A 15,321-nucleotide genomic window follows, 5' to 3' on the forward strand; every position below is an offset into this window, starting at 1 on the left:
CATGAACTCCTTTAAGCCCTTCTCTATATTGGTTATTCTAGTTCTACATTCGTCTGAATTTTTTTCACAGTTTTCAACTTCTTTGCCTTTGGTTTGAATTTCCTCTTGTTGCTCGGAGTAGTTTGATCGTCTGAAGCCTTTTTCTCTCAACTTGTCAAAGTCATTCTCTGTCCACCATTGTTCCGTTGCTGATGAGGAGCTGCGTTCCTTTGGAGGACGAGAGGTGCTCTGCTTTTTAGAGTTTCCAGTTTTTCTGCTCTGTTTTTTCCCCATCTTTGTGGTTTTATCTACTTTTGGTCTTTGATGATGGTGACGTACAGATGGGTTTTTGGTGTGGATGTCCTTTCTGTTTGTTAGTTTTCCTTCTAACAGACAGGACCCTCAGCTTCAGGTCTGTTGGAGTTTGCTGGAGGTCCACTCCAGACCCTGTTTGCCTGGGTACCAGCAGTGGTGGCTACAGGACAGCGGATTTTCGTGAACCATGAATGCTGCTGCCTGATCGTTCCTCTGGAAGTTTTGTCTCAGAGGAGTACCCGGCCGTGTGAAGTGACAGTCTGCCCCTACTGGGGGGTGCCTCCCAGTTAGGCTGCTCAGAGGTCAGGGGTCAGGGACCCACTTGAGGAGGCAGTCTGCCCATTCTCAGATCTCCAGCTGTGTGCTGGGAGCACCACTGTTCTCTTCAAAGCTGTCAGACAGGGATGTTTAAGTCTGCAGAGGTTACTGCTGTCTTTTTGTTTGTCTTTGCTCTGCCCCAGAGTTGGAGCCTACAGAGGCCGGCAGGCCTCCTTGAGCTGTGGTGGGCTCCACCCAGTTGGAGCTTCCAGGCTGCTTTGTTTACCTAGGCAAGCCTGGGCAATGGCGGGCGCCCCTCCCCTAGCCTCCCTGCCGCCTTGCAGTTTGGTCTCAGATTGCTGTGCCAGCAATCAGCAAGACTCCGGGGGCGTAGGACCCTCCGAGCCAGGTGTGGGATATAATCTCCTGGTGCACCGTTTTTTAAGCCCGTCGGAAAAGCGCGGTGTTGGGGTGGGAGTGACCCGATTTTCCAGGTGCCGTCTGTCACCCCTTTCTTTGACTAGGAAAGGGAACTCCCTGTCCCTTTGCGCTTCCCGAGTGAGGCAATGCCTCTCCCTGCTTCCGCTCGCCCACGGTGTGCTGCACCACTGTCCTGTGCCCACTGTCTGGTACTCCCTAGTGAGATGAATCCGGTACCTCAGATGGAAATGCAGAAATCACCCATCTTCTGCGTCGCTCACGCTGGGAGCTGTAGACCGGAGCTGTTCCTATTTGGCCATCTTGGCTCCAAATAACTATTCATTCACTTTTCAACCTGCTTACTCCAGGTTAGGGTTGCTGGTGGCTGGAGCTGTCCCGTCTGCCCAGGGCACAAGGTGGGAACCATCCTGGGACAGGACACTGTTCTATTGCAGGGTGCACTTACATACACCCACACTCACTCATACTGGGCCATTTAGACATGTGAAATAACCTGATGTGCATATCTTGGGGATATGAGATGAAGCTTGAGTACCCATAGAAAACCCAAGTAGGTAGGGGAAAATTTGGAAAGTCTACACAGACAGTGGCTCGGGTAGAAATAAATTTTTTGTTTCATCAGTGTCGTAAGAAAACAACATTATTCTGGGACGTGTTGTGTGGTCTGTCATCCCTTTCTATTACCTGTTGCCTCAACTGTCATTTTAAAAGGCTTTTTAAAAAATTTTTATGAATGGTTATTGACTGAAACTGTATTGTATTACCGCCCAGGTAACTTTTCTTTTGACTAGAATGATCCCCTTAACTTGGGGGATCCACAGAGATATTATATTTCAGTGTAATTGGGTTTTTTTCTGTAATTATGTGTGTTTTATGCATTGAAAATAATTATCAGAAAGGAGTCTTCAGGCTTTACCTGAGTACCAGAGGAGCTCATGTCACTAAAGAGGTTAAGAACCCCTTTAAGAATTTCCATTTCAGTGGAATATGATGAGTGGTAAGAGAAGTTATTGATGTCACGTAACTCTAAACACTCAATCCCAGTATAAATTACTCACTCTATTAACAGGTAAGATGAGTCCAGACAACTTCAAGAATTTAAAGAAGACTAACGTTGGCTTTATCATCTTGACTTTTCCATTTCTCAACTTTGCAAGGATAAAATTGGCCACTGTTCTTCTAATACATGTGGAATCCTATATGATGTGCCCAGGGACAGCATATATAGTGGAAAAGAACATAGATGTTGGAATCACAAGTGCTTAATCTTTCCAAGTTGCTGTTTCTTCATCTATGATATGGAACTAATAATATGCACATTCGTGGGGTGTGGGAGGAATTAAAGGACCCAAAGTATGTACAGCATATATAGTATAGGATGTCTGGCTCAGTGTGGGTACTTGCATAGATGTTAATTTCTTATACCAAAAACCCCAAATGAACCTGAATTGAATTTAAAGTGTGGTGATGCATTGATAGTGGTGGTGGTGATGTAGGAATTAAGAATTGTCATTTACTTTTCTTTCTAGAATTAGTTTGGATGAGTTTTGTTCAGTGAGAAAATTTCCTGAAAGAGGTAGACTTCTTTAAGAGAAAGAAAAGTAGTTTACAGAATGTAGTTGCAGAAATAATGTGAAAGAGAGCACAGATTGAGGAGTAGGAAAATTAAATTTAGAGTCCCAGCTTTGTGGAGTGGCGTGAATAAAGGGAAGTGTACATATCACTGAATTCATGCTTTTCCTTAAGTTATCTGTTTTCAGAGCAGTGGAATTTTTCATCAGAGATAAATATGAAAAGAAGAAATACTACGATAAAAATGCCATAGCTATTACAAATGTAAGTAAAACCTTCATCTCTCATCAATTGTTTGTTGACTAGATTTCAAACTTTTAACATGCAATACAGCTTAATTTATTTATTGTGAAAACATACTAGTTGTATATATTTACATTTGAATATTGGAACTTTTTTGGTTATATAATGTTGAGCTCTTGCAGAGCAGAAGTCTTGATTTAGAAAGGAGCATATTCTAAATCTAATAACCACTTACATGGCATTTAATTAAGTTAATTTTTGAAATTTGCAAAAAAGCTAGAACCACTAATTGAAAATGGTGGGAGAGAAATTTTTTCCCCTAGATTCTAGAAATGTATGAAAAAGAAAAAAGGCAAATATATGTCTTCCTCTAAGGGCTTTCTTTGGTTGGTCCATTGAGAAATGAAACCAGTAGCCCAGGAATATATTAAAAGATGGCATTTACATTTGTTATTAGCAAGCATTTTGATACTCCTAATAGTTAAGTCTTTACAGTAGTAATCAAATACCATCAGGTACCCATAACAAGGTTTCAGTCAATGACAGACTGTATATACAACGTTGGTCCTATAAGTTTATAATCCCTTATTTTTACTGTACTCTATGTTTAGATATATCTGCATACACAGATACTTACCATTGTGTTAGAATTGCCTACAGTATTCACTATAGTAACATGCAGTACAGGTTTGTAGCCTGGGAGTAATAGATGTTACCATATTACCTAAGTATGTAGTAGGTTGTACCATCTAGGTTTGTATGAGCACACTCGATTATGTTTGCACGATGATGCTGTCATGTAATGATATGTTTCTCAGAATGTATCCCAATTGTTAAATGACACAGGACTGTTATGTTTTATCAGCTGTTTCTTTTTAGTTTTTTAAAAATTTTCTCATCCAAGTTAATTATATTCTAAGGCTAATTGCCTTTATTGTTGAAATCATTTTTGGACTTTGATTCCTAGATTGATAAGCTATAAACCAGTTAATCTTTTGGTGAAGTCATCTGTCAAGCAATTTAGATACTATGGAAATAGATTCATCTCATTTTTCATACAAACTGGTTTCCTATTTGGCCCATATGGAGAAGCAATATATTAAAAATTCAGTAAAATCCTAATAAAGTTAGGATATTTTAATATGCTATCTTTGGCCATAAAAAAATCTTGTTAAAAAAGTTTTTAAGTATCAGCTCAATATGGTAGCTCATGCCTGTAATCCCAGCACTTTGGGAGGCCAAGGTGGGAGGATCATTTGAACCCAGGAGTTCAAGACCAGGCTGCTGGGCAACATAGTGAGACCCTATCTCTTTTTATTAAAAAAAATTTTTATTTTTTTTTCGACTGGGCATGGTGGCTTATGCCTGTAATCCCAGCACTTTGGGAGGCTGAGTCAGGTGGATTTGAGACCAGCCAGGCCAACATGGTGAAACCCCGTCTCTACTAAAAATACAAAAATTAGCTGGGCCCAGTGGTGCATGCCTGTAATCCCAGCCACTTGGGAGGCTGAGGCAGAGTTGCTTGCATCCAGGAGGCAGAGGTTTCAGTGAGCTGAGATTGAGCCACTGCACTCCAGTCTGGGCAACAGAGTAAGATTCTGTGTCAAAAAAAAAAAAAAAATTAAGTTTTCAAGTATCATTAGTGTGTATTTTAGAGCAAAGATATCCTTGTGTGTAGCATTGGAGCTGCATTTACAGTGGATGTGAGGAAATCTGTTGAAGGGTTGATTAAAAATTGACAGTATTGAGAATATTTATGTCTATAAAATTAAGGCCGCTGTAAGCATTGATGGGGGAAAGGACTAACTTAAAAGTGTAATGTATTTTCATATGAAATGTTAAGAAATCATTTTAGTTTATTTTAGGGAACATACTGTTTCATATTAAACACTTTTAAAATATAATTTTAAAAATTATATTTGTATTATGTTTCTTTTCTTAGCAATAATTAGGAAATTATTTTTACATAGTAATGTGTAAGATGGTTTTATTTTGGGATGGTAGCTGTTACTGAGTTGGGTTTTTTCCCCCCTTCAAGGTGTAATAATGGTATGCTTAGTTGTAAAAATTCCTTCATTTATAAGATACGTGGTAGAATAAAATACTTGGAGATTAAATGTTATGATACCTAACACTTTCAAGTGGTTTGGTGAAACCTAGCAGCTTTGTGTGTTTGTGTCTGTAGAGAGAGAACAAATATGGCTAATGTTAGTATTTGACTAATATTAATGATGTTTATAGAGGTATTCACTCTACAGTTCCTTCCTTTTTTTATGTAGGCTTGAGAGTAAAAATTTTAAGGTAAAAGTCTGTTTACTTCAGTATATACTCCTGAGTTTATAGTACTATTGAAATAAAAATGCAGAAAGATTTACAAAAGTCACAATAAACCCAAGGGAAAATGTATTCCACCTATTCCAATATAAGCAAAATAATAATAAATAAGTTTATATTGTAGCAGATTTAAAGGATTTTTTCCTCTTTCATGGTGATCAGTGAGCAAGTAACTAATCTTAGGTATTACTGAGAATTACATATTTCTGTTCAGTGTTTCATCTTCAGTAATAGATTGAGCACTCATCCAAATAAATTTGGATCACTTACTATGCTCACAATCTCCTAGGATACTAAAACAAAGAGGACATGACTGTTAGAGACATTTATCACAGTGGAGACAGGAACAGATTTAAAAAAATATAAGTACCTTATATCTAAGGTATTCCAGGAGTACTAGAGTACTTAAGGGGTATCCACAGAGGGACATTTATCATTTCTTCTTTTTCTTTTCTTTTTTTTTGAGACAGAGTCTCGCTCTGTTGCCAGACTGGAGTGCAGTGGCGCAATCTTGGCTCACTGCAACCTCTGCCTTGCGGGTTCAAGCAATTCTTCTGCCTCAGCCTCCCGAGTAGCTGGGACTACAGGCGTGCTACCACGCCCAGCTAATTTTTGTATTTTTAGTAGAGACGGGGTTTTGCCATGTTGGCCAGGATGGTCTCGATCTCTTGACCTCGTGATCTGCCCACCTCGACCTCTCAAAGTGCTGGGATTACCGGTGTGAGCCACCACACCCTGCTGACATTTATCATTTCTTTGTGTTGGGAACATTCAGTATCATCTAGCTTTTTGAAAATATACACTAAATTATTGTTAGCCGTACTTACCCTATAATACTACAGAACACTAAATCGTACTCCTCCTATCTAGCTGTACTGTCACATCTGTTAAAAATTTCTCCCCATCCTTTCCTCTCCCTTACCCTTTAATGTCCATAGTTCTTCCCTCTACTTCCATGAGTTCAGTTTTTCTTAGCTCACACAGAAGAATGAGAACACGTGGCATTTATCCTTCTGTGCCTGACTTATTTTACTTAGCATAATGGCCCCCAGGATTATCCATGTTGCTGTGAATGGTAGGATTTCATTCTTTTTATGGCTGAATAGTATTCCATTGTGTATATATATCACACTTTAAAAATCTGTTCATCTATTGATGGAAATTTAGGTTAATTCTGTATCTTGGCTATTGTGAATAGAGCTGCAGTAAACATGGGGGTTCAGGTATCTCTTTGATATGCTAATTTCCTTTTCTTTAGATAAATGCCCTGTAGTGGGATTGCTGGCTTATATGGTAATTCTGTTTTTAATTTTTTGAGAAACCTCCATATTATCCATAGTGGCTGTACTAATTTACATTCCCACCAACAGTATCTAAGAGTTTTGTTTTCTCTGTATCCTCTCTGGTATCTATCATCTTTTTGATAATAAACCATTCTAACTGTGGTAAGATATCTTATTGTGGTTTTGATTTGCTGCGCCCACTGTCTGGCACTCCCTAGTGAGATGAACCCTGTACCTCAGATGGAAATGCAGAAATCACCCGTCTTCTGCATCGTTCACGCTGGGAGCTGTAGACCGGAGCTGTTCCTATTCGGCCATCTTGGCTCCTCCTGCATTTCTCTGATGATTATTGATTTGACCTTTTTTATGTACTTGTTGGCCATTTTTGTGTCTTTTGAGAAATGTCTATTCAGATCTTTTGCTTATTTTTTTATTATTATTTTTTGCTGTCGAGTTGTTCGAGTTCCTTGTATATTATGGATGCTAGTTTCTTGTCAAATGAGTAGGTTGTTAATATTTTCTCTTATTTTACAGATTGTCTCTTCACTCTGTTAATTGTCTCCTTTGCCATGCAGAAGCTTTTTAGTTTGATGTAGTCCCATTTTTCTATTTTTGGTTTTGTTGCCTGTGCTTTTGAAGTTTTATTCATAAGATCTTTGCCTAGACCAGTGTTTCCTATGTTTTCTTCTACAAATTTTATAGTTTTGGGTCTCCTATTTAAGTCTTCATTATTAAGTTTTTTTTTTTTTGAGATGGAGTCCCCCTGTTTCACCCAGGCTAGAGTGTAATGGTGCAATCTCAGCTCCCTGCAACCTCCGCCTCCTGGGTTCAAGTGATTCTCCTGCCTCAGTCTCCCGAGTAGCTGGCATTACAGGTGCGTGCCACCATGCCTGGCTAACTTTGTATTTTTGTTAGAGATGGGGTTTTGCCACGTTGCCCAGGCTGGTCTCGAACTCCTGGCCTCAAGTGATCCCCCTGCCTCGGGCTCCCAAAGTGCTGGGATTACAGGCATGAGCCACCACACCCAGCTAAGTCTTTAATCTATTTTTAATAATTTTTAATTTTTGTGGGTGTATAGTAGGTGTATATATTTATAGGAGACATGAGATGTTTTAATACAGGCATGGAATGTGTAAAAATCACATAATGTAAAATGGGATATCTACCCCCTCAAGTGTTATCCTTTGTGTTACAAACACAAAGGATATTATGTTGAATATTATGTTGAATAAGATTGGTGAAAGTGGGTATCCTTGTCTTTTTTCTGTTCTTAGAAGAGAAGTTTTCAGCTTTTCCCCATTCATTATGATGTTAGCTGTGGGTTTGTCATATATGACCTTTATTATGTTGAGGTATGTTCCTTTATGCCTAATTTGTTGAGAATGTTTATCATGAAGAGATGTTGAATTTTATGAAATTCTTTTTCTGTATCTGTTGAAAAGATGATAAAGTTTTTGTCTTTCATTCTGTTGATGTGATGTATCACATTTATTGATTTGTATATGTTAAACCATTTATGCATGCTTGGGATAAATCCCAGTTGATCATGAGCAGATTGGGCATGTGCAATGGATGTCATAGGACCCAGATGAGTTAACCCTCAAGCCCCTGGTTGGGTCATGTGGGCGGTGGTGGCTGTGGCTATGTGGGAGGGTTCTTGGGTCCCCAGGTGGAGGATGCTAACAACAGTGTCAGTCTGAGTACGTCGGTTGTCAGGCCCCTGGGCAGTCCATGCTGGTGTTGGTGGCAGCAGCTCTGAGTAGGCCTGTTCTCAGGCATCCAGGAGGACTTTCCAGATATATATGGTGGCCATGGGGTACCTCTAACCAAGCCCTTCCTTGGGTCTCTGGGCTGGGTGTGTGGGCACTGACAGTGATAGGGACAAGCCATTCCTCAGTCCTGTCCACTGCACAGGCAGTGTGTGTGGATGGTGGCCAACCGGGCCAGTCACTTCTCAGGTCCCTGGGCAGCATGTGCAGGCATTTGCATTGGTGTCCCAGGCAATGTATGTGGATACACAATGGCTCTGCTCTTGGAATGGGCAGGGTCACTGTCTGTGGTGGCAGCCCCAGGCAGGCGGTTCTCAGGTCTGGAGAGCACATGCTTCAGCTCCTTATATCCTGGAGCAGACTCCCTGATGTGCAAGACTGCCTCTTCTCCAGGGTGTAGGCTTCTGCAGGACTCAGGTGCCAGGGACTTGGCTGCACTGCCGAGTCTAGCTGGTGTTCTGATGCTGAGACCTTCCGGGAAGATGTCAAGTGATGTTGGGAGGGAGATCCCACAGATGTCAAGATGCTGGGATTATTGGGCTTCAGGGCTGGATGTAGTCTAGTGTTGGCGGTACTGTCAAAATGGCACTGTGCAGCAGCAGCTTGGTCCCAGTGGGTGGGTGAGATCCAGTATGAATTCTCTCTGAGATAGTTTAGTTGCGTGGACTCCAGGCAGCTCCTTATACTAGACTCAGGGCCTGTGAGGGCTGAAGGACTCTTCTGTAGCTAAGATTGCAGGGGCTGTGGTGGGAATGTGGACTGTTAAGGATTTTTGCTTACCTTGCCACCATGATGGGGAGTCCTTCCTGGCTTCTAGCCTATCTTGGCTAGCTGCATGGCTTCCCTCTTGATGCTGCCATTTCGAGTTTCCCTGCCTCTGAGCTTCCTTGTCACTTACTTACTGATTCCTACTGTTCTCCCCTAGTGCTCTATTCAATGTGTTGAATAGAGCATGTTGAATAGAACTGCCCTTGTGAGGGATCCAGGTTGTGTGCTCCATTTGAGAATGTTTTGCGTGATGATCTGAGGTGGAGCTGAAGCAGTGATGCTAGTGCTGGGGAGTGGCTACAAACACAGATCAACATTGGCAGAGAGGTTTGACTGCACAGAGACCATAGTAAATCAGTTGCTTGCAGACTCATATCAAAACCCTGTCATTGAGTAGTAGGTGACAATTAAGCTGCATCTGGTGGCAGGCTTTATAGTGGCAAGTGAGTTGATGTACTTCAACTGTACGGCTGCATCTGGTGGCAGGCTTTAAGTCAGAATCTGACATTTGCTTTAGCCCACATATGGCCCGCTCATTATTTGATTTACCACAGTCCTGCCCACAATCTCAGGGTTGGTGTTTATACAGAGTGTATATACCAGGGGGTGGAAATTTTAGTGGCTGTCAGAATTCTGCCTACTATGGTCATATAGAATGAGTCTACCTCCCTTGTTCTGCCTGATTTCATTGAGTGATGGGAAATTTGACAACAGTTTGCAGAAATTTGTCCTGTTGGCCAGGCATGGTGGCTCATGTCTGTCATCCCAGCACTTTAGGAGGCTGAAGCAGGAGGATCGCTTGAGTCCAGGAGTTTGAGACCAGTTTGGGTAACATGGCAAGACCCTGTCTCTACAAAAAATAATAATGAAAAATTAGCTGGATGTGGTAGAGTGTGCCTGTAGTTTCAGTTACTCAGGAGGCTGAGGTGAGAGAGTTGCTTGAGCCCAGGAGGTTGAGGCTTCAGTGAGCTGTGATCACACCGCTGTACTACTACCTGGGCAACAGACTTAAGACCCTGTTTCAAAAAAGAAAAAGAGAAATCTGTCCTGTCTGTCCTCCTTCCCTTGCTCACTTACCAGTAGTGAATCACAATGGGAAGCAAAGTATTTTAAGTGAGTTTAAGAGATACAAGAGGACTTAGGTAGATGAGGCTGAACTGCCACATAATTTGCTCTTTTCCTCCAGTAGCTTTTCTCTTTCCCCTTGCGCCATGCTGTCTCTGTGTCTCTTCAGCTAGTGAGTTGAGATTAGCGTAAAAGAGCAGGGTCTCTACTTGGTTTTCTTTGTTACTTCTTTTCATTACAGTTTGCTTCCTCTTCTGTGAAATAAGGATGTCATAGTGTCTGAATTTCATAGTATTGCTGCAAGAATTAAGATGAAGTATACTCTATTCTTATTAGGGTGCCTAGCACATAACCACTTGCAATATAAGCTATTGTGATGGCAGGAAATGACTGTAAGCAGGTAGATAAGAAAAATGAATACTCAAACTTAATTATAAGAGTTTATATCATTGGAGAAATCTTGGCTTGAGTTCTGTTTCATTAATTGCTCCACACTTTAATCAGCCCTTTAATTATAGGACACCCCAATAGAGCATGTAAAGGACTTAAAATTTTTTTAAGTTTTCCAGAATTCTACATATTTCTTATTGACTTGGCCACAGATTTTAAAGTTAAAATATTAAATATTAAGATTTAGGCTTCTTCTACACACTTGGTAGCTATGGTTACTTGGGTAAGTTTTCAATGTCTTTTAATCCTCCTATGGATGAGTTTCATTGATGTTGTGTTTTGTATGGGTTATATACTAATTTAGTAAATGTTTACGTTTTCAGCTTTTTTAATCCAAGATATGCCATGGAGTGCAAAACTGGAAATCATATATTTAAAATGATTTCTAGACTTCTGAAAAACTTGAGCTTCATGGTATACTAAAAGCTCATGAGACAGCCATTTGAGAATTGCTGTGATAAAATTTCTACTTAGAAAACACATCCAGGAATTTCTAAAATGAGATTGGAGGAATCCATTGCCAATAATTAATCTATAAGATGTTTTTCAGTGACTGTATCTTTTTCACTGCTTTGGACCACCAGATTTAATTTTCATAGCATTATTCTGTTTAAAAGGGTGGTAGTAGCAAATATTTCAAAAAATTCATCAAGAAAATTTTAAACATTATGCTTTATGGCCTTCAATTACTTCATACCTTTTCAAAGGGTGTTTGTTCACCTTATTCTTGTAGGTGGGAGTTGGGAACTTGTTTTACGTGGTCAGTTTTTCTTTTGCATGAGGTAAGTTTATACAATTGTAGTGTTCTGGGAGTTTTTTCACATATCGGTTACTTTGATGGTGGCCTAGAGAAGAACGTCTGAGCTTAAGAATAATTGAAGGAAGGACTGTTAAACTCATTTTATTTCTGAAGAAAACTCATTTTGTTTCTGAAGAATGTCTTTACTGGATTTCTACTGCGTATTATCTCATGGATAGATGGGGTGGGTGGGAGTTCGGAAGGACATTTAAGTATGACTACTGCATTCACTGACACCACCAATTTCCAGCAAAATTTTCTAAGGTCAGAGTCTTATACTCTACATGTATAAAAGTACTAGGAGCCAGTGAAATGGAATTAATATCTGTTACAAAATAAATTCTAAATTTGAAAGTAAATATGGATAACTTCTATGGGATTTCAGTAAAGTATGTTAGCAAGCCAATGAACTTTCAAAGAACAATTACTGAGATTGAGCCTCCTTTTGGTTCTCCTTCTGAGATGCTTCCTTCCTCCTCTTTTCCTGTAACAGTTGAAAATATTTATTGAGACCTGTTGAATGTCAGGTGCTAAAGATGGTGAACCGAATAGAAATAATATCTGCCACAGATAACTTTAGTTGAACAAAGAATACTGATAAGTAACTAGATTTTTATAAGACAACATGTGATAAAACTTACATATGAGGCCTAGCTTCCCAGCCTACATTTTTCTCCCATGCTGGATGCTTCCTGCCCTGAAACATCGGACTCCAAGTTCTTTAGTTTTGGAACTTGAATTGGCTCTCCTTGCTCTTCAGCTTGCAGACAGCCTATTTTGGGACCTTGTGATCATGAAGACAGATGCCTTCTTGGTCCTCCCCTGGAATTTCTAGCCCTACTATGGATGTTTCTGTTTGCTCTGTTTCTCTGAGTGAGGGCTTTATTGTTCTTTGGATTTGAAGAGAGGCCAACAACCTCCACTGACCCAGATGGCCAGTATGGAAATATACATATGTGGAGCCAAGATGGCTGAATAGGAACAGCTCCGGTCTACAGCTCCCAGCCTGAGTGACGGAGAAGACGGGTGATTTCTGCATTTCCATCTGAGCTTTGAAGAGAGTAGTCGTTCTCCCAGCACGCAGCTGGAGATCTGAGAACAGGCAGACTGCCTCCTCAAGTGGGTCCCTGACCCTCGAGCAGCCTAACTGGGAGGCATCCCCTAGTAGGGGCAGACTGACACCTCACACGACTGGGTACTCCTCTGAGACAAAACTTCCAGAGGAACGATCAGGCAGCAGCATTTGCGGTTCATGAAAATCCGCTGTTCTACAGCCACCGCTTTCCTGTAGCCACCGCTGCTAATACCCAGGCAAACAGGGTCTGGAGTGGACCTCTAGCAAACTCCAACAGACCTGCAGCTGAGGGTCCTGTCTGTTAGAAGGAAAACTAACAAACAGAAAGGACATCCACACCAGAAACCCATCTGTACGTCACCATCATCAAAGACCAAAAGTAGATGAAACCACAAAGATGGGGAAAAAACAGAGCAGAAAAACTGGAAACTCTAAAAAGCAGAGCACCTCTCATCCTCCAAAGGAACGCAGTTCCTCACCAGCAACGGAACAATGCTGGACAGAGAATGACTCTGACGAGTTGAGAGAAGAAGGCTTCAGACGAACAAACTACTCCGAGCTACGGGAGGAAACTCAAACAAATGGCAAAGAAGTTAAAAACTTTGAAAAAAAATTAGATGAATGTATAACTAGAATAACCAATGCAGAGAAGTGCTTAAAGGAGCTGATGGAGCTGAAAGCCAAGGCTCAAGAACTACATGAAGAATGCAGAAGCCTCAGGAGCCGATGCGATCAACTGGAAGAAAGGGTATCAGTGATGGAAGACGAAATGAATGAAATGAAGCGAGAAAGGAAGTTTAGAGAAAAAAGAATAAAAAGAAACGAACAAAGTCTCCAAGAAATATGGGACTATGTGAAAAGACGAAATCTACGCCTGATTGGTGTACCTGAAAGTGACGGGGAGAATGGAACCAAGTTGGAAAACACTCTGCAGGATATTATCCAGGAGAACTTCCCCAATCTAGCAAGGAAGGCCAACATTCAGATTCAGGAAATACAGAGAACGCCACAAAGATACTCCTCGAGAAGAGCAACTCCAAGACACATAATTGTCAGATTCACCAAGGTTGAAATGCAGGAAAAAATGTTAAGGGCAGCCAGAGAGAAAGGTCGGGTTACCCACAAAGGGAAGCCCATCAGACTAACAGCTGACCTCTCGGCAGAAACTCTACAAGCCAGAAGAGAGTGGGGGCCAATATTCAGCATTCTTAAAGAAAAGAATTTTCAAGCCAGAATTTCATATCCAGCCAAACTAAGCTTCATAAGTGAAGGAGAAATAAAATCCTTTACAGACAAGCAAATGCTGAGAGATTTTGTCACCACCAGGCCTGCCCTAAGAGAGCTCCTGAAGGAAGCACTAAACATGGAAAGGAACAACCGGTACCAGCCACTGCAAAAACATGCCAAATTGTAAAGACCTTCAAGGCTAGGAAGAAACTGCATCAACTAACAAGCAAAATAACCAGCTAACATCATAATGACAGGATCAAATTAACACATAACAATATTAACTTTAAATGTAAATGGGCTAAATGCTCCAATTAAAAGACACAGACTGGCAAAATGGATAAAGAGTCAAGACCCATCAGTGTGCTGTATTCAGGAAACCCATCTCACATGCAGAGACACACATAGGCTCAACATAAAGGGATGTAGGAAGATCTACCAAGCAAATGGAAAACAAAAAAAGGCAGGGGTTGCAATCCCAGTCTCTGATAAAACAGACTTCAAACCAACAAAGATCAAAAGAGACAAAGAAGACCATTACATAATGGTAAAGGGATCAATTCAACAAGAAGAGCTAACTATCCTAAATATATATGCACCCAATACAGGAGCACCCAGATTCATAAAGCAAGTCCTGAGTGACCTACATAAAGACTTAGACTCCCACACAATAATAATGGGAGACTTTAACACCCCACTGTCAACATTAGACAGATCAACGAGACAGAAAGTTAACAAGGATACCCAGGAATAGAACTCAGCTCTGCACCAAGTGGACCTAATAGACATCTACAGACCTCTCCACCCCAGATCAACAGAATATACATTTTTTTCAGCACCACACCACACCTATTCCCAAATTGACCACATAGTTGGAAGTAAAGGTCTCCTCAGCAAATGTAAAAGAACAGAGATTATAACAAACTGTCTCTCAGACCACAGTGCAATCAAACTAGAACTCAGGATTAAGAAACTCACTCGAAACCGCTCAGCTACATGGAAACTGAACAACCTGCTCCTGAATGACTACTGGGTACATAACGAAATGAAGGCATAAATAAAGATGTTCTTTGAAACCAACGAGAACAAAGACACAACATACCAGAATCTCTGGGACACATTCAAAGCAGTGTGTAGAGGGAAATTTATAGCACTAAATGCCCACAAGAGAAAGCAGGAAAGATCCAAAAGTGACTCCTAATATCACAATTAAAAGAACTAGAAAAGCAAGAGCAAACACATTCAAAAGCTAGCAGAGGCAAGAAATAACTAAAATCAGAGCAGAACTGAAGGAAATAGAGACACAAAAAACCCTTCAAAAAATCAATGAATCCAGGAGCTGGTTTTTTGAAAGGATCAACAAAATTGATAGACCGCTAGCAGGACTAATAAAGAAGAAAAGAGAGAAGAATCAAATAGACGCAATAAAAAATGATAAAGGGGATATCACCACCGATCCCACAGAAATACAAACTACCATCAGAGAATACGACAAACACCTCTACGCAAATAAACTAGAAAATCTAGAAGAAATGGATAAATTCCTCGACACATACACCCTCCCAAGAGTAAACCAGGAAGAAGTTGACTCTCTGAATAGACCAATAACAGGCTCTGAAATTGTGGCAATAATCAATAGTTTACCAACCAAAAAGAGTTCAGGACCAGATGGATTCACAGCCGAATTCTACCAGAGGTACAAGGAGGAGCTGGTACCATTCCTTCTGAAACGATTCCAATCAA

At 40.7% G+C, this 15,321-nt stretch overlaps 1 protein-coding gene across 10 annotated transcripts in view, besides 1 other annotated feature; it reads left to right on the forward strand.

The window, feature by feature from the left end:
* SMAP1 (small ArfGAP 1) overlaps nt 1-15,321 on the forward strand; it is a 194,133-nt gene that overhangs the window by 102,714 nt on the left and 76,098 nt on the right. For all 10 annotated transcript variants that reach the window (NM_001044305.3, NM_001281439.2, NM_021940.5 and 7 more), the window contains one exon: nt 2,754-2,829. In NM_001044305.3, the coding sequence (NP_001037770.1) occupies nt 2,754-2,829 (76 nt within the window). The remainder of the gene's footprint in view (nt 1-2,753; nt 2,830-15,321) is intronic.
* Nucleotides 912-1,412: an enhancer, noted in NCBI's record as "H3K4me1 hESC enhancer chr6:71481211-71481711 (GRCh37/hg19 assembly coordinates)". NCBI's record gives its function as "activates a minimal SCP1, AML or CMV promoter by ChIP-STARR-seq in naive H9 embryonic stem cells {active_cell/tissue: H9 hESC(naive)}" and the evidence as "EXISTENCE:reporter gene assay evidence [ECO:0000049][PMID:30033119]".

The sequence above is a fragment of the Homo sapiens genome, chromosome 6, assembly GCF_000001405.40.
Source record: "Homo sapiens chromosome 6, GRCh38.p14 Primary Assembly".
Lineage (NCBI taxonomy): Eukaryota > Metazoa > Chordata > Mammalia > Primates > Hominidae > Homo > Homo sapiens.